Source organism: Homo sapiens, chromosome 8, assembly GCF_000001405.40.
Source record: "Homo sapiens chromosome 8, GRCh38.p14 Primary Assembly".
In the NCBI taxonomy this organism is placed as follows: Eukaryota; Metazoa; Chordata; class Mammalia; order Primates; family Hominidae; genus Homo; species Homo sapiens.
Genome location: NC_000008.11, coordinates 88,644,639 through 88,670,072, shown reverse-complemented (window position 1 = coordinate 88,670,072; position 25,434 = coordinate 88,644,639). Strand labels below are relative to the sequence as shown.

The 25,434-nt window shown below is 33.8% G+C and overlaps 2 long non-coding RNA genes across 3 annotated transcripts in view; one reads left to right on the top strand and one right to left on the bottom strand.

Moving 5' to 3' along the window:
* Nucleotides 1-25,434, bottom strand: part of LOC105375630 (uncharacterized) — a 559,756-nt gene that overhangs the window by 217,527 nt on the left and 316,795 nt on the right. The window lies entirely within an intron of this gene.
* On the top strand, nt 4,127-10,210 carry LOC124901973 (uncharacterized). Its single transcript, XR_007061000.1, has 2 exons — nt 4,127-4,215; nt 10,050-10,210. It is a non-coding gene; the product is annotated as an uncharacterized LOC124901973 (long non-coding RNA).

Here is a 25,434-nt window from a genome sequence, read left to right as displayed (position 1 = left end):
CCCCCATTACTCTTTGAACACTTCCTTACTTTCTGGTATAGGAAGATAGAAAGTACTATACTTTCTGGTATAGTACTTTCAGGCTCGTCTTGTCTTTTCCTGAACTTGGTGAATTCAGTCATTTCTGCAAGAAACCTAGTTACCTATACATCATGCTCTTTAGTCTAAACTGCTTATTGGTATGAGGAATTTACTGCTATAAGGCACTCTCCATGGACAGAACTAGGGAATGTGTGTATATATATGAGTGTAAGCATATCTGTGTGTGTGTATATATACACATCTATATATATTCAAATCTTTCTATCTATAATCTATCATTTATCAATCATAATTTATAACTTTGCATCAGTATTTCCAATTCCATCACAATAGGAGAATTTTGTTGTTGTTGTCTACATGCTTGTAAATACCTTTTTAGACAGAAACCTAATTACAATTTTTTAAATATAACTACTGATATAATCAATCTCCATTATACAATCAACTTCTGATTGCAGCAGCCTCCCTCTCCCCTCACATGAAACCTTCTCACCTGGCTTGGGTTCTGTCTCCTCATGCCATGTTGCTGCTCTATGTAGGCACTCTGCTCAGGCTCTGACACCCTGCCCCAGACTGCCATCAAGAATATACATGTTCTCACTTCTTTTGAGCACTCACTTCAGGCACCCTTATGCATAAACACCCTACTAAGTCTCTTGGACTCTGACAACTATATGGTAACCAGTCTCTGAGGTGACCTCAGGTGATCTGTCTTCCAGTGTTCATAATCTTATGTAGATCCTACCCATAATGTACCAGTGTTAGTATCTGTGACTAATAGCCTAATGCAGAAATTATGGGATGCCATTCTAATAGTAGGTTGTAAAAGCTGTGGCCTCTCCCTTGGTGACATCTTCTCTTGGTAGTGCTCTTTTTGATCTCTCACCATTAGATCAGTCACTCTGAAAGAAGAAAGCTTCCATGTTATGATAAGCTCTGCAGATGCCAACATGGGGAGGAAATAAAGCCTCTGGCCAACAGCCACATGGATGAAGTGGGAAGTCAACTCTCCAGCTCTAGTGGAAGCTTTAGAAAACTCAATGGTAACTTCATATGAGACCTTAAGTGAAAACCACAGACAGAAAGAAGCTGCTGCAGATTCCTAACTCCCAGAGACTGCATGAGATAATAAGCGTATGGAGTTGTAAAACATAAGTTTTGCATTACTTTGTTAGATAGCAATAGATAACAAATAAACATCCCCTGTTTGGTGCTACCCTCTGGCCTCCACATGAACACCACCTTCACCCTGCCTGAGTTCTGACATATCACATCAATCATCCCCACTTATGGATACCCTCATCTCCTGCCTGGGTTCTGACACCTCATACTGGGCTTCCTCTTTGCAAAGACAATGTCCTGGTAGTGCTCCACCTAACTGGAAAGTTCAAAAATGGAATTAAAAGGAAGAGGAAAGGGAAAAAAGGAGGAAAGCCAGAACCTTAATGTATTTGGAAATTTAAAATATAAACTAGAAAACACCACAAAGAAATAACAAAATTTATTGTGGTAAACAGACAAAGCATTAAAGGAATTTTCAAACATTAAAGGTATGTGTCTATGTAGATGAAATTAGATAGAGATTTGGATAGATATACTTATCCAAAAAATATGGTGTAAGGGAAAAGGATAAACCCAAAAAACTGTTTTTAAAGCCATACATTAATGAAAAGTAGGACAAATCTAACATCTAACTGGGTAATAAATAAGTAAAAAAATAAAATTACATTAAAGATAGAAAAAAATGAGCAAAACTAACATAATTTACTATTATATCTAAAGAATAAATTACTATTATACCTAAAGAATAGTCAAAATATCTGCAGAAAAACTATAAAATCAATAGAAAATTTCAGGTGGTTATAAGATAAACATTTAAATATGTTTATATTTAGCAAGATGCTAACAAGATTAGCTATCATTTGTTGCTACTTATACTACTTATTACTACGTGTTAATAAGTAGCTATCGTTTGTTGCTACTTATACTACTTATTACTATGTGTTAATAAATACAAGAAGAGATACCATTTACAATAACAAGAAAAAACACAAAAATAACAAAGACCCAAAAGAAGAGAAACAGCATAACCATGATTGGCAATTTTCTATGTAAAAAGATGAAAAATCATTTTTAATTTAATCAATAAATTTAATTCGATTCTTATCAAATCCCAACAGGAATGTTCACTGGACTTGATTAAATAAAATGGAATGTAATCATGAAATATAAATGGCAGAGAAATGCCCCGAGAATTCTGAAGCTGAAATAAGGGAAGAAATTGGAGGGTTAATAAGGTGGTGATGACGATAGTTTTTCCACCCTAGATATTAAAATTTAACATATCGTTACAATAATTTGAACAGACTTCTGGAACAATAAAGGAAGCTCTGAAATGTGAACTTTCAATTTATAATAAAGAATATATTATACGGAATATATTCTACACAGTCTTTAATAAATCTTACAAAAATTGCATATTATTATTAGATACATTTAAATATATTATCAGTGGATTAGAGATTTAGGGGTTAAAAATGTCATAAAACTTTAGGTAAAAGTATAAGCGATAAAGTTGATTACCTCAGAGATAGAAAACCTTTTCTTAGACTGACACCGAAAGCACACATTGAGAAAATAGGGATGCGTTATTAATACATTACAATTGAAACTTCTGAATGGCGAAATACACCAAGAACAAACTAAAAAGTAACAGATGTGTTGAATTATTTGAATGAATTTAAAAGATAAAAACTGCCAAAATAATAAGAAAAGACAAACAACCTTTCAGAAAACTGGGTGTGGGATAAAAATTGCCTAGTAACAGAGGAAACAATGGATCACAAAGGCACTAAATTGTGCTCGATTGTTTGGTAATTAAGATAATACAGACTAAAATTATAAATTATTTTTATACTGATCATGTTGGCAAAAATCACAAATCTAATAAAATCCAATGTTGGCAATGATATGGTAAATATTTTTTAAACCTGATAAGCCCATAAATGGGTATAATTGATTTTTGAGAGCAATTTGTTAATAGATGCTAAATGTCTCAGACAAAAAAAACCACTTGTTCATGATGAAGGATCACTTTTATGTATTACTGTATCCAATTTGCTAATTTTGATTCAGAGTTTAATGTTAATGTTCATGAGGGATATTGTTCTGTGATTCTCTTTCTTGTGATATTTTCAGTTTTGTTTTTAGCCTAATATTGCTGTAATAAAATGGTTTGAGAAGACTTTCCTCCTTTATTTTCTGAACAAATTTTGCGGAGGTATTGGTATTATGTTCATTTATGTGGTTGTGTGTGGTAGGGTAGATAATTTAAAAATTCAACATCTTTAATTGACATAGGGTTATTAGTGTTTTATGTTTATATCTGTAATCTTTTAAAATTTCTAAGGGTTTGTGCATTTCCACAAGTTGTCATATTTATTAGCATAAAATTGTTTATGATATCCTCTTTTTTCCTTTTAAGGTCAGTAGGAGATGTAATGATGTTTCCTGTTTCATTCTTGATATTGACAATTTGTGGTTTCTGTGTTCTTTTCCAGAACTGACTGTCCAGATACTTATTTATGTTCTTGATCTTTAAAAACAAAAAAAAAAAAGAAAAACGATTTTGGTTTAATTACTTTTCTCTATTTTGTTCTTTGGGTTTAAATTTTTCCTCTTTTTCCAGTTTCTTAAGGTGTGAACTCTGACTTTGTATATTTATCTTTTTTTAATATAAACACCGATTTAGCAGCATTTCACAAATTTTCACAGGTTAGATGTTCATCTTCACTCAGATCAAAGTATTTTTTCAGTTTCTCTTGTAATTTATTCCATGACCTATGGTGATTATTTATAAGTATATTTTTAAATTGCAACCATTCAGTGTTTTTCTGGTGACATCAGCATTTTCATGGCTTAGTGTTGGTACATTGTATTCATTTCCTAGAATTGCCATAGAAAAATACCATGGACTGGTTCCTTCAACAATAGAAATTCATGTTCTCACAGTTTTGGATGCTAATCCAAGATCGAGATGCTGGCAGGGTTGGTTTCCTCTGCGGCCTCACTCTGGCTTACAGATGGCTGCATTCTAGCAGCCTCTTCACAAGATATTTTCTCCGTGTGCAACATCCCTGGTGCCTCTCCTGTTCATCCCAATCTTTTCTTCTTGTAAGTACACAGATTAGATTAGGTTCCTCTCAAATTGTATTATTTAACTTAACCATCTGTTTGAATACCTTCTCTACAAATATTATTACACTGAGCTATGGGGAATGGGACTTCAACATATGAATTCGGGAGAACACAATTTGGCCAATAATATATGATAAACTTTCTCTATGAATTTACTTTCAGCCTATCTGTATCTTTAAACTTTAAGCACCTCTCTTGAAAAGTGCATATAGTTTTGTTTGTTGTTTTTAATCCACTAAGACTATTTTTAAATTTTAATTGAAATGTTTGCTCTATTGTCTTTCTTTTTTTTAAGTAACACTATTTTTAAGGTATATATTTAAGATATAAAACATGAGGTTTATATACTACAGATAAGCAAATTAACATATTCATTAACTTTCATAGTTACCTCTTTTTCTTCTAGTGGTAAAAGCACCTAAAAGCTACTCTCTTAGCAAATTTTTAATATACAATACAATATTATTATCTGTAATCCTCCTGCAGTACATTAGATTTCTAGACTTATTCCTCCTACAAAATTGCTAATTTGTACCATCTGACCTACATCTCCGCATTTGCCCTCTACCCTGTTTTAACCACTATTCTTCTATTTTTATGTATTCAGCTTTTTTTTTTTGATTTCACATAAAAATGGGATCATGCAGCATTTGTATCTTTGTTCCTATACTATTTCACTTAGCATATTTTCTCCATTTGATCCTTGTCATTGCAAATGACAGGATCTCCTTCATTCTTAAGGCTAAATCATATTCCATTGTGCATTTATATATGTACCACAATGTATACATTTCTTTCTTCATGTATCTGTTGATGGGCATTTAGGTTTTTTTCTGTACCTTGGCTATTACCAATAATGCTGCAATTAACATGGGAGCTCAGATATCTCTCCAGGTGCTAATGTAATCCCTTTTAGGTATATAGACCTCAGAAAAACTACTGGGTCATATGGTAATTCTAATTAATTTTTGAGGGACAATCATACTGTTATTACATAATGGCTATACTAATTTACATTACCAACAACAGTGTACAAGAGTTCCCTTTTCTCCACACCCTTGCCTGCAGTTCTCTCTTGTATTTCTGGTAATAGCCATTCTAACAGTTGTGAATTGATGTCTCATAGTTTTGATTAGTGATGTTGAGCACCTTTTTATATAACTGTTGGCCATTTTTATGTCTTCTTCGGGAAAATGTCTACTCAGGTCCTTTGCCCATTTTTAATTTTTTTTTTTTTTTTTTTTTGCTATTGAGTTCTACAAGTTCCTTATGTATCTTGATATTAACCACTCATTAGATACATATTTTCCCAATATTTTCACCCAATCTGTAGGTTGCCTTTTATTTTTGATAATTGTTTCCTTGGCTGTGTAGAAGATTTTTAGTTTGATGTAGTTCTTTTTTTTTTTTTTTTTTTTTTTTTTTTTTTTTTTTTGGTTTTTGTTGCTTGAGTTTTTGGCACCATATTAAAAAAAAATTATTGCAAAGCCAATATCAAATAAATTTTCCCTTGTGTTTTCTTCTAGGAGTGCAATGGTTTCAGGTCTTTTAGTTAGATCTTCAATTCAATTTGAGTTTATTGTGTTTGGTGTGAGATGAGTGCACAAATTTATTCTTCTGCATGCGGATATTTAGTTTTTCCAATACCATTTACTGAAATGTCTATCCTTTCCCCATTGTGTGTTCTGGGTATACATGTGAAATATCAGTTGACCATATATAAGCAGATTTATTTCTGGGCTTTCTATTCTCTTCCATTGGTATCTATGTCAGCTTTGTGCCTGTAGCTTGCTGTTTTGCTTGTAGGGGTTGGATTGTATCTGTATGTTGCTTTGGGTAATATGGGTATTTTAACAATATTAGGTAATGCAAGGCTGGCTTATAACATATGCAGATCAAATAATGTGATACATCACATTATCAGAATGAAAAACGAAACCATATAGTCATCTCAATAGATGCAAAAAAAAAGCATTTGAAAAAGTTTAACATCTCTGCATGCTAAAAACTCTCAGTGAAAAGGTATAAAAGGAAATGTTCTCAACATAGTAAAGACCGTTTATGAAAAGCCCACAAATAATATCATAATGAATAGGGAAAATATGAAAGCTTTTGCTTTAAGATTGGTATAAGGCAAGGATGCCCACTCTCACCTCATCTATTAACATGGTACTGGAAGTACTAGCATAAACAATCAGACAAGAAAAACAAATAAAAGTCGTCCAAATCACAAAAGAAGTAAAACTATCCAAGTTTATGGATGACATGATTCTATATGTAGAAAACTCAAAGGATCCTACCAAAATGTATTTGCACTAATAATTGAATTCAGTAAAGCAGCAGGGTACAAACTCAATAGCAACATACATAAATTAGTCATGTTTATGACTATTATGATCAATGAGAAAAATAAAAAAATCTTTTACAATAGCATCAAAAAGAATAAAGTACTTAAGAATAAATTTAACCAAAAATCCAAAAGATTTGTACACTGAGAACTATAAAACACTGATGAAAGGAATTAAGTAAGCTACCAATAGATGGAAATGTAGCCCATGCTCCATTTTCAATTAATGTAATCATTGAAATGATTAGATTTAAGTCTATAATTTATTATAATTTTTCATTTGTCTCTTCTATTTTTGATTTGCTGTTCTGCCATTTTTGTCCTTTTATGAATTATCTCTAGAATTCTAGTTTTAATTTTCCTATTTTGCTAGATATACCTTATTGTTTTTTGTTTGTAAGTTTAGTGATTGTCTGAGATAATACTATATACATCCTTAACTTTTCACAATTTATTTATAATTCTTATTGCAGTGCTTTGCATGAAGTGCTGTAATTTTGCAAAAATATAGAGGATAAGTTCGTATCCTCCCATCTTTTATGTTGCAGTTTATATAGACACTACACAATTTGGCTTCCAAGAATTATATGATTTATAAAGTAGTTAGGAGGAAAAAGGCAAAAAATGCTTTTTGCATTAAATATTTCAGATGATATTTATTTATTTACTATATTGGAAAATTTGAGTTTCCAGTTGTGTCATTTTCCATACACCTGAATAATTTTCCTTCTCATTACTTGTGCAGGTCTGATCACAATGAATTATCTTAGTTTTCTTTCACCTAAAAATATCTTTACTACACATTTATTTTTAAAGGATATTTTTGCTAAATATCAAATTCTGATTTAACTTTGTTTTCTTTCAGCACTTTAAAGACATTCCTTTTGGGGGGCCTTAATGATTTCTTGTTAAAAGCCCAGACATTCATTAGTTTATTGTTTTCTTACCTGTAACATGCCATTTTTCTCTTGAAGCTTTCAAGATTAGCTCTCAACATTTACCTTTCAGCAATTTCATTTCACACAATTCTTTTTTGGTTTTATTCTACATGTGCTTATAAATCATCTTGTATTAGTACATTTCTATTCTTCATTAAATTTAGGAGATTTTTATATAATATTACTTCAAATATTATTTTCTGACTCATTCTTTCTCTTTTCCCATCCAGGATCCAATTATATGTATGTTAGACCATGTGAAACTATTAAAAAGGTCTCTGAGTCTCTCTTCTCTTCTCATAATATTTACAATTTTTTCTCTCTTTTCTTCACTTTCTATTTTTTTAGTAATCAATGTTCAAGATCATTGACTCTTCCTTCTATTTTGCAGTTAAGTCCATACAATTATTATTTTTTTCATTTTAGTTAACACATAGTCTAGTCCCAAGATTTAATTTGGATATTTTAAATTGTTTATATTTATCTGCTGAAATATCCTATATTTGTATTCATTGTGATCATATTTTATCTGATTTTATTTGCATAGTCACAAAAGCAACTTGAAAACTTCTCTTTCGGAAGTCTTTCATCTGACTGATATAAATATTTGGTTCAATTTTTTTTCTTGATTTTTGAGACTGTGTCCCATTTTCTGTATTCACTTGTTGTATAAATTTGAATGATGTACTAGACATTATGGACATTATGTTGTAGATAGTTGAATTCTGTTTTTATTTTGTTTTTGTTTTTTAATGAGTGTTTATTCCTTAGGTTTAGTTTGACTGGCTTTAATTGCAAAACTGCTTCTTAGTCACAATTCCATTCTCAAATGAGATCTTTGTCTTTTGTTGAGTAGCTCTGGGTCTGTTTAGCTCAAGCATGGCTCAGAGATGAATCAGAGCTCTACATAGACATAATTTGGGGATGTCTATTCTGGATATATTCTTCTTGAAATTTTACTGCTCTCTTCAGCAATCATCTTTTCCCTGATTTCAGTTTTCTGTTGGCCCAGGGCTTAAAGATTACAGTTTATCCAACTCCATCACTGGCATGTCTTTCATCAATAACTCTGCTGCCATTGTCATGCCATGCCACCTTTAATTAGCCCAGGCTAAAAACTACCAAGATGCAACTCACTTGTTCAGTTTTCTCCAATTCTATTCACTTTCTGGTACCTTCATATAATTGCTTTTGTATTATACTTTCATATTGTAGACTTTTCCTTGCAGGCTGAATGGTTGCTTTTAGAATTTGAGGACCTTATACTCCAGAGCAGATATCTTTATCATCTTCTTTTGATTTTACTTTTCTTCTTACCATACATTTTTTGAGTCTTTGATTATTTCTACTTTCCTACTTTCTCTTATCCACATTCTTTTCTTTTAAACACAAGCTACACATTATATTTTCAAATTTTTCCAGTGGTAATCTACACACACATACATGCCCATGCACACATACTTTCTAATATATAGTTATTTAATAACTGTATTTTGCTGCTAAACATAACAAGAATCTTTTCATACTTTACATATCACAGAATTATTCAACCACATATTCTTGATTATTTATACCTAGAATTTTTGTTTCATGTATGATATATAGACTTTGTTATTATTTGACAGTACATAGTTATTGAAACTTACCATGAAAATTCACTCACTTTTTTGGGGTGGTTATATTCTCCTGATTTTACCTGTGTTCATTTCCTCCTGTTAGAAGTTTAACCTTTTGGAAATATTTCATTGAAGTGGTAAATCCCCATAGCTTTTGCTTGTTTGTTTATTTTGTTACCATATACTCATTGTTGATGATAGTTTAGCTAACTATAAAATTCTGGAATGAGAAGTATTTCCCATTAACTCTTCAATGACATGAGTGTTTTCTGGACTTTCTTAGTTAGCAAAAGGTGACTACTTGGTTCTGAATTTACACCATGGTATCAGCCCCTGCTTAGTTCATTACCATTTTTAGAGATTCTGCTTTTTATTTGTAAAATTTCTTCACATGTTCCTTGACCTAGCTATACTCTTATTCCCAGGATGACCTGTGGAATAGGTTGGGGGATAAGACTGAGAATACGAAGGAGCTACACATACATTGACCCTTTCCTAAGCCTCAGTATGGTTAATTGGTAGGGCTTTTACCTATAGCTCCCAAACAAAAAAATTCAGTCATGCATTCAGACCCAGAAGCCCCTTTCAGGAACTCAATTTTCATTAGTTGTACTGTGTAAAATGTCCTCAGATGGAGTTTGAGGTAAGATAGATATAATGGCCAAATACATTTTATAAAACAATATTTATGTATTTTGAAGGATAAACAATTAAAGTTAAGGTATTATCACAGTTGTAAATGTTATGTTTCATATAATTGAAAAGTTCTTTATCACCCAGCCCTTACAGAAAAATATTATTACCAGGAGCAAATTTGATTTTATAACTCTATTTAGCAAAGACATTTCAATGTAGGTTAAGATAAATATGTGTCTTATTTGTAATTATATTGTGTATATTTTTTTACAGAACCATTTTTTCCTACTGTATTATAGAAATAACTAAAGAAGAAGGAAGAGTTATGTGCCTTATACTATGATGAAGAAGGACACCCACACCTTACCTAACATGTACATTAACACCTGCATTGGCAAAAACCTAAAAAATAAAATATTTACTTAGCAAAGAAACATATTTGCATGAGTCTTGCTTTCCTAAATATTACTTTATTTGAAGACACTTGTTTTGGTGTCAAACATTACCTAAATTAAAATGTTTATTTCAATAATTATGGCAAAACAAATGTTTGTTTTGGGCCCAGTGTAAATTCACAAATGTTCTTGCAAATGTTCCATAGGCCAGCTGCTACTAACACTCCTTTTTAAACTTTCTTTGCCAAGAATTTTATCTACACTGGCTGCCTATTTGAAGACATTCATGAAAATGTTTACCAGGTAGAATGTTATTCATGTTTGCAAATGTTGTCTATTCATTATACTTTTTGGTTTCCAAGCATAAAATATTTTCATGTGCATACTTCTTGTTGATTAGTGGATGAAATTATTTAAAATAAAATGGAAGAAAGATATCACGTTAATTGCTTAAAAGGGAATAAAAATGAAAATCAAATAAAATTATTCACTTGATAATATGCACTAAGAAGACTGGCATTTAAAAAATCTAAGAGGAAAAAGATTAATAAAGAAAATTGGTTATTTACAAATAGTTTGAAATGGCTAGGGATGAAGGCTCCAAACTGAGTTTCCAGGTTGATTCCTAGAATGATACAGAACTGGCCTTCTAAAGAAAGTTCTCTCTGCTTCAGTTCAAATGCTAGGAAATAGAAAAGCTGCTGCCCCAACTAATGACTCAACCTCTACTAAGATCCAGGGATCAGGAAATCTAAGTATAATCTCCAGGATAACAAATTCTCAGTGTTGACATTTCCAGCAAAACTGATGTCCAATGCCCACTAAGCTAGGGATTGAACACTAAACTATCCGTTCTAATGCTACTGAAATAACCACATGCATCCATGAAAATACCTGCAAGCAAAAACAATGGAAGCCACAGAATCTTCATATCATTTCAACTTTTTATGTTTCCACAAGGAAACATCAGCTTGGGAGGAGCTGGAATACATGTAGGACATAAACTGTAAGGAGGTCCAGGAATTTTAGACTTCGTAGCCTCTAGAGTATAGTCAGTCCTGAAATAAAGGGGGCTGGAGTTGCATTTATTGATTTAAGCTGAAATAATTGCCTGGATTCATATTAAAGAGATGGCTTTATCAACTCTACAGTCTCATTTCTGTAACAGCATTTGACATAAAGTGCAAATCTATTAGCTAATTATGCAAATCGAAATTGTGTATTGCCAAGTAAGACTACCCAATAATTCTATCAAAATATACTCATGAGCCATTGCACCATGCTGATTTAAATGGCTTCTCCTTTCAGGAGAGAAACTTAAATTGCTGTTTTTGCATTAATTCGTCATTATTTAAAAAAAATTTGATGTGGTGTGGATTATGAAGTATTTCAAACACATAAACTCAATCAGGAAGCATTTACAATTGCAGCTACTATTCATATGTAGACTATTTACTGGTCTTCATCTGTGCTACTTTTGGTACCTGATGTATGTATGACTAAGAAACTGGCAGCTACACTGTGTGTTTGGGGCTTGCCTTTTATTTTTATTTTTATTTTTTTGAGACAAAGTCTTGCTCTGTCACCCAGGTTGTACAGTGGCACAATCTCAGCTTACTGCAGCCCCCACCTCCCTGGTTAAAGCGATTCTCGTGCCTCAGCTTCCTCAGTAGCTGGGATCACAGGTGAATGCCAACACACCTGGCTAATTTTTGTATTTTTAGTAGAGATGGGGTTTTGCCATGTTGGCCAGGCTGGTCTTGAACTCCTGACCTCAAGTGATCTGCCTGCCACAGCCTCCCAAAGTCCTGGGATTACAGGCCTGATCCACCATTCCTGGGACAGGGGTTTTCCCTTTATAATAATTGACTGCATATATTTTTTCACCTGACCACCTTGAATTGGTTTCATAGGAACTCTCCAACTCTGTCAAGATATTCACACTACCATTCCACGTGGCATTCCACTGATTCATTTCAGTGATGACAACATGTAGAAAGGCCTTATACATCAGGATATGGTAGCCACCCTAGTTAGTACAAAACATGCATGCCTGAGAGTGGGACATAAACCTCACAAAACCAGCGATGAATGAAGTGTTAGGGGATTCCCTCAATGAAGTGTTAGGGGATTCCAGTTGTCTGAAGCATGTTATGATACTCTCTTAGAAGTGAAAGACAAGTTGTTTCTCATATCTCCTTTAACTAAAAATCAGCTAATGTTTGTCAGGTTTTATTGTATATATGGTATGTTATTGTATTGTATTTATCAAGAAACCAATAAAGCTATCATCCTTGAGTTGGGCCAGATCCTGAGAGGATTCTCTGACTGGTTCAGCCTCTTATATCAAGAATTCTGTCACCCTGCTTTTATGATCCAGGTGATCCAATGATGCTCACTGGGTTGTGGCAGATCAGGATGTTCTATGGAGCTTGCTTAAAAGCCCATAGAAAAATCACAGTCCTACAATTTTGAAATGAATTGTACTTTCTAATACACTTCCTTTCTCATTCAAAGAAATAATTACTGGTTTGCTATTGGGTAATGATATAACCTGGAAAACCACCGAGTACTTCATGTAAACAGAAGACCAAAGCTCTAATTCAAATTATGTGTGTGTGTGTGTGTGTGTGTGTGTGTGTGTGTGTGTGTGCTCAGCAGCATGTCAGCATCTAGTAAAAGAATATACATGAGTTGGATTACAGTAAGCCCTGAATGGTCCTTTAAGTTGCTGAAGCAGCTGACCCATACTCCTGAAATACATAATGCTCCTGCAGGCCAACTCTTCTTCACCCACTCTTCACAGGAAATCTATATGAACTATTTAAGCCATTTGTATACATTACTATACAATGTGCAGACACCTGTCCTAAGTTGCATCATTTCAGTTTCACTCATATGAGGCCCTGAAGACACTGAGGAATGAGAAACCTCCAAACTTCAAATTTTATATCTGGTTATCTACATTGCTCAGAACAAAAGACACTAAGATATGAATCAGTCATGATCCATGATCAGTGGTTACTGGTTTGCTCAATAGTCAGTTGTTTTGAAGGAACATATTAGAAAACTAGTGCCAAGTAGGTTTTAGGGAGAGTTATATGAATGAATCTCTTAGACCCAGGGTGTGAAAATACTTGTATGCCATTTGAGTAACTACCAACGAGTCCATACCTGTTTCCTCTAAAGCCAAGTGAACAAGATGCCCCATCCTTTAGATATCACTAAATTTCTTTCTTCAGCCACATCAGTGTTTGCTCAATGAGCTAATGAACAAAGTGGCCATGTGTTCAGGGATGGAAATAATACCTGGATTCAGCAACTATAGACATCACCTCATGACACTGGTCTAGTAACTGATATAGTAGCTAAGTGTCCAGTCTACCAACCGCATACTCGAACACAGCCTGCCCAAATGATACTGTAACTGGAATGTGATATAGCCAGAAAATAGAATCTAATCAATAGAACTTTCCATTGGCCAGTGGATAGCAACTTCAGATAAGTTATCCTATATTACATTATACTTCAAATTGACCATTATTTATCCTAATATACTGATAAGCTATACATAATTTCACAATTCCAAGGAGAATGTGTTGCACAAAAGAAATATTTACTAATATTAAACATTAGTAAATCTTTCTTAGTAAATTCACTCTCTTGGAAAAATCAAAATTATTATGAAGACTGGCCATTACTTAGAAAAATTTAAACTATGAAAATATGGATGCAAAACTGAATTATAAGTTTGTCTACTGCTTTTTGAAGGAATAAAATGGACGTTCCTCATCATTATGAATGAGATGTACTGAATCCTTATTGAATGAATGCAGTTTATGATGGCTAGAGTTCAAGTTCTGCTTAGAGTTTACATTTGTTACGGTTTAAACCTTAACAAGGAAACTTTAATTTCTTCATCTATACAATGGAAATAATAATAATTGCCTCATGGGTTACTTTTTATAAAGACTTAAACCTAGATAGCAAAAGTAAAGTATCTAAAGCTTGCTTTCACACAGTAGGCTCTTCATGAGTGTTATTTTTCTTCTCTCTGTAAATGTATGAATGATTTCTTTGCACTTATACCACAAGTTGATTTATTTTTATTTTGAAATTACAAGTTATACTTGAATACATGTATTTATATGAAAAGTAATATTGGGAGGGTTAGTAGACTCCTACACCAGTGTTCTGAAAGCACCTCAAAATAACTTTTCTTTTTCTTTTTCTTTCTTTTTTTTTTTTTTTTTTGAGATGGAGTTTCTCTCTTGTTGCCCACGCTTGAATGAAGTGGCACCATCTCGGCTCACTACAACATCCGTCTCCTGCGTTCAAGCAATTCTCCTGCCTCAGCCTCCCAAGTAGCTGGGATTGCAGGCATGCACCACCACGCCCGGCTAATTCTACATTTTTAGTAGAGACGGGATTTCACCATGTTGGTCAGGCTGGTCTTGAACTCCTGATCTCAGGTGTTCCACCTGCCTCGGCCTCCCAAATTGCTGGGATTACAGGCATGAGCCACCATGCCCAGCCGCAATAACTTTTCAATAACCACCACCACAACATGAAAACACACAACCAGTGTCACTTCTCTGTGCTTTGGTGTGACTTCTCCATATAGCAAACTGCTAGTTACCTTTCAGTGCAGTATACTGGTTGGCAGCTGTGGTTAGTAATTATCCAGTTTAAATTTCATCTGAAATCCCCAACCATCATGAACCATTATGAAAAAAACACTTAGCCAATAGTGGCGGCACGTGACTATAGTCCTAGCTACTCAGGACAATGGAAGGGGAGGATTGCTTAAGCCCAGGAGTTGGAGGCTGTAATAAACTATGGTTGCACCACTGTACTCCAGAGTGAGACACTGTCTCAAAAAGAAAAAGAAAAAAATTACTCATAGGATGGGCCCAGTTCCTAACCTTCAATAAAGCATTGCTACCAACATTTGAAATGCATTCGACATTCTTATAACTGCCGTTTTTCAAGCCATTTTACATTTTCCTTCTTGCAGGGGAATGATTTCAGTTAAACTTGCAAGCAACTCTAGCTGAGACTTCCCTGTAACTGTCATAAGTGAGAATTTTTCAAAAAATGAATACTTTGTGAGGATTAAGTCTTCTAATAGGAGCTGTTTATTTGTGGAGTCTAAATTAACTGCCTCAATTCTTCTGGGATAACTCGACACCCCTGAGGTATTTTTTCACTTACTAAATAAAGTTAAGTTACTCCTTAGGTTATATCATAATCACACATGGCATTGGCAATTGTCAATTTGTTGCAAATAACCATTATGACTCAAAAGTGTCTTGAAAGTGCCAATATTGTTGACATGAGCTTAAAAGTAGCCTTTATCAGGTTTGCGCTTTGGGCTTTTTTTAATGTCCTTGGAAGTCGGTGCAATTTTATTTTCACACTTTAACTGTGAAGTAGGCCACTTCAATATTATTTTCTTGTCTTTATTATGTCTTTTTTTTCCTATTCTGTAAAGTATCTGCCCCACAATCCACAGATGACAAAATTCTAAGGGAGTTTTTATAGTTAGGTACTTACATATGAAGTATTAAAAATAACATTTGACAACACCACCATGGTGAGGTTATGAAATTTATCCTACAGAAATACTTGCATGCAAGATTACTTATAAACAAGAGAATGCACAAAGACATAGTGATATTATAAGGATATTGAAGACAAGCTAATTTTATACCAATAGAGCATGGATCAAATAAATTACTATGTATCTATTTATTAGAATATTAAAGGAGTAAATATATATACTTCTTTTACCTATTAATTATACATAATATATTAATTATTATATTATTAATATATCTAATATGTAAATATGTGCACTTAATGTGCTAATTCATTAATATTTTATAACAGTGTATGCTTGTAAATGCAACGACTCTCTGGAAATAGACTTAAGGGCCTTATAAATAGTTTGTCTCATTGAAGAAGTACTAAGTAACTTTGAAACAGAGGCAGTCCAGTTGGAACAGGTAGACTAAGGAACTTACATAGTGAACTGTTTTTATTTAACAGATTGCAAATTCAGAGTGTTCACTGAGATATATTACAAGATGTTTTTGTCTTTTCTCAAGTTTTCCCTTGATGTTACAAATGTGGCAGTGGCATTGCTGTTTTACTCCCCTCCCTCAAAACTCACTGATAATAACCAAATGAAACAAAACAGAGAAGAAAATTACCACAACTGCAAATCACAATCAGTTGTGATCAACAACCAATCAGATAAACAATGTCTGCCAAATAAAATGAAATATGTCTCAAAATTTTAAGCTTACATAGAACAGATACATGCCCTCTTGGCCTCAGGCAGCATGCAGATTTTTCTAGACATAGTCTTGAAAGGTTCATCTAATAATATACCTTTAATCCTACTGCAATAGTGCTCTATAGAAGAAACTAGAAATATTTTTGCATGGCTTCAATTTAATGGTGCAAAAAGTGAGGGGAAGCTGAAAGAAGAAAAGGCAGTGCGTGATCTTCCTTAGTGATCTTCTTTATCAGTGCTGACCAAAGACAGCTGAGCAAGTGTAGACAACACACTACATACATGCAGGTTACGGAAGGCCATAACCAAAAGCCACACCAATCTCTTATTGCCCCAGTGAAGGTGATAATAAAATATAAAAGAGCAATATGCCCCAGGAATGAGTATACCATAAATCTGTGAGAGTGTCGTCAGAGAACAAAGCTGCTAGCTAAAGCTTCCAACGCATGCCTCTTCCTTCAATGCTTTCGCAGTTATTCTCAAGTGCTGGCTTGCATGGATCTACCCCACTTAAAAAGAAATAACACGAAAGGAACCAACAGTAGACCAATCCAAAAATATGTTTTTAACTAAATGATACACATTAGAGGAGGAATTAACTCCCCCAAATCTTCAGACATGTAGTTCTCTATATTACCAAAGAAATGAATGGTCACGGGTCAGTTTTCCGGGAGAAAAAAATTCTGAGAGAAGGATATTAATGAAGAAATAATTAGAAAATTAAAGAGATTAGATGTGATCTGATGGATCTAGAGAAAACAACTAGAAAAACAAAATTATCGTTAAAGTCCAAATGAAATTAAATGAAAGCAATATCACAAAGGACATGCAGAGTCTATACAAATGTTAACAAAACAAAATGATATTAAAGCAAGAGATAAAAGAGATCAGAAAAAAGATGGTAGATATGAAAGAAAGGAAATCCAAATAAGCACAATTTACATTCCTGGGGAATGAAAATAAACAAGTAGAGGATACATAGAAAAAATGAAATATAAATACATTTATACACACACACACACACACACACACACACATATATAAATAAAGAAATAAGTGATGCTACAAATTAAATGACAAAAACCGTGTCCCAGGAAGAACTGATAAAAAATGATTCATTGCTAATTGTATCTTGATAAATTTGCTAAATCTTAAATATAATAAAAGTACTCTAGATATACAGACAGGAAAAATTAGTCACCTACTTCAAGGAAAAATCAATCTAAACTCAAGTTTTTCAGTACCCAAAATTTAATGGCAAAAATGTAGTCGAACTTTATATAAAAATTCTGAATGTTATGGTATGTGCTCAAGAAAACTGGCAATCAATCACATGTAAAAACAATGGACAGATAATCTCAAATGTGCAAAAACTCTGATCAAATATGCAGTGATCCTGTGTCACAGTTTGTCAGAACTCATTTATGACTGTTGTTCTTAACTGGCATTAAAACTGCCCTTTTTCATTTTTAAACTTGTCATGGTTTGGATAATACATTATATTGTTATACTAATAATAAACTGTACTCAAAATTAAAAACTTGACAAAATTCAACCATCTAAAATATGTGCACAAATGAAAAATCAGAAATGGTAACATAGAACTTCCAGTTTCAGCTCTAACATGGCAACAATTTATAAGTCATCACTTGGATTCTAAGAAGACAAAAAACTGAACAGAGTAAAAGTCAATAACTTTTCTTGGCTCATGAGACAGCTGAGGTTTCAGGACAAATCATCTCCCCGTACTCAGTAGAGACAGGTGAATATAGTGAGTCACAGCCAGCAGCTTGCCTGAGCAGAAGCCACTGGAGCCATAAACTAACAAACACACTTAATAGGAACTTTGATGAGTGGCTGGAGGCTGAGTGTGAACTAACCTGAGAGTGAGAAACTCCCTGGGCTGCAGTTTTAGTGGGGTCTACATGCTTTCACGGGTTTTACCTCCAGGAATCCCTACCAGGTCTCAAGGTAGAAAGCCAAGAAATAAAACAAAACAAAAACCCCTCCTGTTTTGGCTGAGAGAGGAAAAGTAAACATTTAAAAATACTCCCAGAATGTTCTTTAAAATAAAGAACTACTCAGACTTTAGCATAGCCTGCTCCAACCTATGGGAGGAAAATTAACCAGCTCCAGCTGCCTCTGGCCTAAAAGCTAAGAAACACTTATGAAGGTCACAGTCCAGAGACATGGGCTCAGTAAAGATGGAAATTTAATCATAAGATTATAAACCTTTTTCACCTACAACATCATAAATAGGGCTTCAGTATAATAATGATGTATTACCATTAGAGCTATAAGGTGAAGATTCTTTTTAAGAAGGAGATTTTTAAAGAAACCCAAAGACAACATGGGGAAAAAATAAGGACACTAGAGGAAATTGACACCAACCATTACAGCAAACATGAAACACAACCCAGCTCCTACTCAGATTAACAAAATCTGAGACTAAAGGCCTGCCTAATATGACATGTGTGTCTTTCAACAAAAAATACAAGGTATCCTAAAAGTCAAGAAAAAACACAGTTTTAAGAGACAAAGCAAACATTAGAGCTAGATGCATATATGAGACAGCCTTTACAATAACAGACAGAAAATTTAAACTATCACCAAGTTATTAAGGGCTCTAATGGAAAAAGTGAGCAACATGGAAGAACAAATAGGTAATGTAAGCAGAGAGATTGAAACTCAATGAAATAATCAAAAAGAAATGCTTGAATCAAAAACACTAACAGAAATTAAGAAAGATGTTGATGATTTATCAGTAGACAGAACATGCCTGAGGAAAGAATCAGTGAGCTTGAAGATAAGTCCATAGAAACTCCCAAAATTGAAATGCAAAGAGAAAAAAAGAAAAAAGCAGAAAAAAATCAAGTAACTATGAGACAATTTCAAAAGTTGTGACATGCATAGTTGAAATATCAAGATGAGAAGAGAGAAGGGAGTAAAATAAATATTTGAACTAATAATGGCTGAGAACTTTCCAAAATTTACTGCAAAACTATATCACAGATTCATAAAACTCAGAGAACATAAAGCAGCCTACTCACCAAAAAAATCTATATCCAGGAATGGCATACTCAAATTGCAGAAAGCCAAAGACAAGGAGAAAATGTTACAAATAGCCAGAGAAAAATAACCTTATTAATAGAGGAAAAATAAGAATTATAGTGGATTTCGTGTCAGAAATCTTGCAAACAAGAAAAGAGTGAAGTAAAATATTCACAATGTTGATAGAAGGAAAACCTACCCACCTAGAATTATATGGTGAAATTATCCTTTGAAATGAAAGAGAAGTAAAGACTTTCTCAAACAAACAAACCAAACACTCAGATAATGTGGTGCCAATAGACCTGCCTTGAAAAAAATTATAAAAGAAGTTTTTTAGGGAGAAGGAAAATGATACATGTCTATACAGTAAAAGGGACAATGACAAAGAAGAAATAAATGGAGGTAAAATAAAACATTTTTTCTTAATCGATCTAATGGTAACTATTTTAATAATAATATTATTATATTGGAGGATTATAGTATATGGGTAAGTGAATGGAATGAAAGCAATGTTATAAGGAACAGAGGGAGAAGCTGGACTACTCTGTATTATGCTATCTATACCACCTGTGAAGCAGTATAGTGTTATTTCAAAGTGGATTTAGATTTGTTGTAAATATATATTTCAGAAGCTAAGAAAACCACTAAAATGTTTTATAGAGCTATATTTGATATGCTAAGATAGGTGATAAAATTGAATCATATAACATTCTACACTAAAACCAAAGAAGGCAGAACAAGAGCAGAAGAAAAAGAAAAACAAAGAAAAGTAGAAAAGAAAGACACCAAAATTTCTTGACACAAAATTGCCAGAGAGGCCCTAGATTTTGCTTCCACATAATCAAAAATCTACTTTTCATACTTAACTAGAAATTATTTGAAAAAGGAAAAACAGTCCAGCAATAAGGGGTAAATAATGATTTCCATAACTGAAAATTCTGTGACAGTGATCGTGTTGTAATTTTAGTATTTGTTGCCCACTTTTTTTATGTGAAAAAAGTCACCTTTTAAGGAATTAAGAATAGGCATAGAAACTCAAGTTCCAGGTAATAAACTCATATTCGAGGAAACAAATGGTAACGAACGACTGTATTCATATTGTCATGCAAAATTAAGCCCATTTTTTCTATTTTGAGTAATTTACATCTTTTTAAAACAGACGCAAACATTTTTCCCATTGCATAAAAATATTTTTTTAATTCATACATGGTCATTTCAAAAACTTTAAATTCTGATACCCTAAGAGTCATTCATTTTTGATGAACATATTCCATAAGTTTTTGAGGCATTTAAATGCATTGAACCTGCCAGTTGTATGTATCTATCATTAGAGGTTTAATTGGAAAAATAAGTTGTTTGTTTGGACATGTTTTTGAGTAGCTCTTTTTCACACTTCAGTTTAACTGGTGAATTTTAAATATTGTATCAGTCAAGGTTCTCCAAAGAAACAGAAACAGAATGAATAGGGGAGTGTGTGTGTGTGTGTGTGTGTGTGTGTTTCACTATAAGGAACTGGCTCAGTGGTTATGAAGACTGGCAAGTCTAAAATCTCCTAAAGTCATGTGCCATTTCCATTCCAAAAGCTGAAATCTGTGGCAAATATTCCAATTTCAGTCCAAAGGGCAACAGCTACTGTACAGCCAGCAAGAGCGGATGCCTTAGTTCAAAGGCCAGTAGGCAAGAGAATTCTTTCTTATTCAGGGTAAGATAAAGCCTTTTGTTCTTCAACTGATCAGATGAGGCCCACCCACATTATGGAGTGCAATCTCCCTTACTCAGTCTAGCAATATAAATGTAATTCTCATCCTAAAACACCCTCACAGAAATACCTAGAATAGCATTTGACAATATATTTGGATACAACATGGCCCAGTCAAGTTGAAACATAAAATTAATCCTCATAGAAATGTAACATTCTTCCAAATAATTTCATTGATCATATTCAGTCATTAGCTAAATTATTTGTACATCTCATCAAAATATTCCATACTATTTTCAGGGTTATTACTGAATATCACTTAGGATTCACCCCTATGTGTCACTCTTCTGAACAAGGGTCCTAAGCTACTTACATTTCGAAATAAAGTTATCTATACAGAATTAGATGTAATGTCTAAATGTCTCAATTATGACAAGAGAATTTATTGTGTATGTGTCTTATATTCTTTTGATCTATATCAGAAGCCATTATGTGGTATCTATCACACAAACAAAGAAAAGAGTATGGCTTTCCCTAGAGGAATTTGAAAGTCTTTAGCAAAATTTAGAATAATAAATATATAATTTTTTTATAATTTAGTCCTTCTGTTAACCATGATAACGCTGTCACATTTTATACACTCCAAGTTAATTATAACAAAAATAATAGAGAGAACGTGAAACAAGCATTACGGAAATATGCCAAAAGAATTCTTTTTTTTTTTTTTTTTTTTTACACTTTAAGTTTTAGGGTACATGTGCACAATGTGCAGGTTTGTTACATATATATACATGTGCCATGCTGGTGTGCTGCACCCATTAACTCGTCATTTAACATTAGGTATATCTCCTAATGCTATCCCTCCCCCCTCCCCCCACCCCACAACAGTCCCCGGAGTGTGATGTTCCCCTACCTATGTCCATGTGTTCTCATTGTTCAATTCCCAACTATGAGTGAGAACATGCGGTGTTTGTTTTTTTCTCCTTGTGATGGTTTGCTGAGAATGATGGTTTCCAGTTTCACCCATATCCCTACAAAGGACATGAACTCATCATTCTTTATGGCTGCATAGTATTCCATGATATATATGTGCCACATTTTCTTAATCCAGTCTATCATTGTTGGACATTTGGGTTGGTTCCAAATCTTTGCTATTGTGAATACTACTGCAATAAACATACGTGTGCATGTGTCTTTATAGCAGCATGATTTATAATCCTTTGGGTATATACCCAGTAATAGGATGGCTGGGTCAAATGGTATTTCTACTTCTAGATCCCTCAGGAATAGCCACACTGACTTCCACAATGGTTGAACTAGTTTACAGTCCCACCAACAGTGTAAAAGTGTTCCTATTTCTCCACATCCTCTCCAGCACCTGTTGTTTCCTGACTTTTTAATGATTGCCATTCTAACTGGTGTGAGATGGTATCTCATTGTGGTTTTGATTTGCATTTCTCTGATGGCCAGTGATGATGAGCATTTTTCATGTGTTTTTTGGCTGCATAAATGTCTTCTTTTGAGAAGTGTCTGTTCATATCCTTCACCCACTTTTTGATGGGGTTGTTTGATATCTATGACAAACCCACAGCCAATATCATACTGAATGGGCAAAAACTGGAAGCATTCCCTTTGAAAACTGGCACAAGACAGGGATGCCCTCTCTCACCACTCCTATTCAACATAGTGTTGGAAGTTCTGGCCAGGGCAATCACGCAGGAGAAGTAAATAAATGGTATTCAATTAGGAAAAGAGGAAGTCAAATTGTCCCTGTTTGCAAATGACATGATTGTATATCTAGAAAACCCCATTGTCTCAGCCCAAAATCTCCTTCAGCTGATAAGCAACTTCAGCAAAGTCTCAGGATACAAAATCAATGTACAAAAATCACAAGCATTCTTATACAACAATAACAGACAAACAGAGAGCCAAATCATGAGTGATCTCCCATTCACAATTGCTTCAAAGAGAATAAAACACCTAGGAATTCAACTTACAAGGGATGTGAAGGACCTCTTCAAGGAGAACTACAAACCACTGCTCAATGAAATTAAAGAGGACACAAACAAATGGAAGAACAGTCCATGCTCATGGGTAGGAAGAATCAACATCGTGAAAATGGCCATACTGCCCAAGGTCATTTATAGATTCAATGCCATCCCCATCACGCTACCAGTGACTTTCTTCACAGAATTGGAAAAAACTACTTTAAAGTTCATATGGAACCAAAAAAGAGCCCACATCGCCAAGTCAATCCTAAGCCAAAAGAACAAAGCTGGAGGCATCAGGCTACCTGACTTCAAACTATACTACAAGGCTACAGTAACCAAAACAGCATGGTACTGGTACCAAAACAGAGATATAGATCAATGGAACAGAACAGAGCCCTCAGAAATAATGCCACATATCTACAACTATCTGATCTTTGACAAACCTGAGAAAAACAAGCAATGGGGAAAGGATTCCCTATTTAATAAATGGTGCTGGGAAAACTGGCTAGCCATATGTAGAAAGCTGAAACTGGATCCCTTCCTTTCACCTTATACAAAAATTAATTCAAGGTGGATTAAAGACTTAAATTTTACACCTAAAACCATAAAAACCCTAGAAGAAAACCTAGGCAATACCATTCAGGACACAGGCATGGGCAAGGACTTCATGTCTAAAACACCAAAAGCAATGGCAACAAAAGCCAAAAGTGACAAATGGGATCTAATTAAACTAAAGAGCTTCTGCACAGGAAAAGAAACTACCATCAGAGTGAACAGGCAACCTACAAAATGGGAGAAAATTTTCTCAACCTACTCATCTGACAAAGGGCTAATATCCAGAATCTACAATGAACTCAAACAAATTTACAAGAATTCTTATGCTTTCTTGTAGCCCTATTTATCACAGAACACAACACAATAATTAATCAGAGAAATACGTACTTAAGTGAATCTTTGTTCTTCGTTTCTCATGTTATAACAACACAAATAGCTAACACTTGAATATGGAAATGTTATGTTCTTTTGGTGCTTATGGATATAATCCTGCTTAATCTTCACAACTTTTTGAGATAGTTATTCCTAGCTTTATTTTACTGATGAGGAAACTAAAGCTCAGAAAAGTAGTGTTCCGTAGCCATCAGCAAGCAGTATAAGTCAGAATTTAATTCAGATTTTGTCTTTGAAATATCTTATTCCTAGTTTCCATTAGTACTTTCCCCATAAGAAATGTTCTCCTTAGTTAAAATAAAAATGTAAAGGTTAGATTATATATTTCATCTAGAATTGGCATGAAATAACACTTTATAAAATATATTAAAATTTCATGACATCAAACTTTCTGAAGTTCAGTGTTTTTATAAATTCATCCAAATTTACATTGAAATTACTCAGTTTCTATTATATATCAAATCCATCAGATTTTTTAGAAGGGCACAAATGTGTTTATTTCTATATTTTGAAAACTTTGTTATTCTTTAACACTAATAGCATAGATGTATTGATATAATATATGCTGATGTTTCCTTGAAAGTAAACTAAAACTCCAAATCAGGCCTGGTTCAACTTACCAAAGAATTTTGTTTGTGCTACTATGTATTTTATCTCAATAGGAACTTGCATCAGAGGCTACACTCAAAAGAGTCATCTCATAACCATTCCTGCTAAGGATTAGCAATGAGAATCTGGGAACAGAGGTCTGTTAGGTGTCCCTGCATGCCTGAGTGTAGCTATGATCTCATTTTAGGCACTATTCTAATATCTTTGTTTTTTTGTTGTTCAGCAGTGAAGCCTGTGGAGACCTGGAAAGAAATATTATTTCCTGTAGTTCACCATCTGTGGACCAAAGTTTGTTTTTTGCTTTTTTTTTTTTTCTTATGGTACAATGCAATGCATACACCACACAATTTTGGCCTAAACCAAATAGTTTGTTTCATCTTTAATTTGTAATTGGTTTAGTATACAAGTGCAGATAAATGCAAATTTAATTTGCAGAATGTGCAGAAGGAAGAAAGTTATAAGAATATAAAATATATGCTACAAATATTCAGCTAGTGAAGTAAAATGATCATATAGCTTTTATTTGTGGGTCAAAGTGCCTAAAAATACAGGTGATATGGTTGGGATCTGAGTCCCCACCAAATCTCCTGTTGAACTGTAATCCCCAGTGCTGGAGGTGGGGCTTGGTGGGAGGTGGTGGGATCATGGGGGCACTTTCTAATGG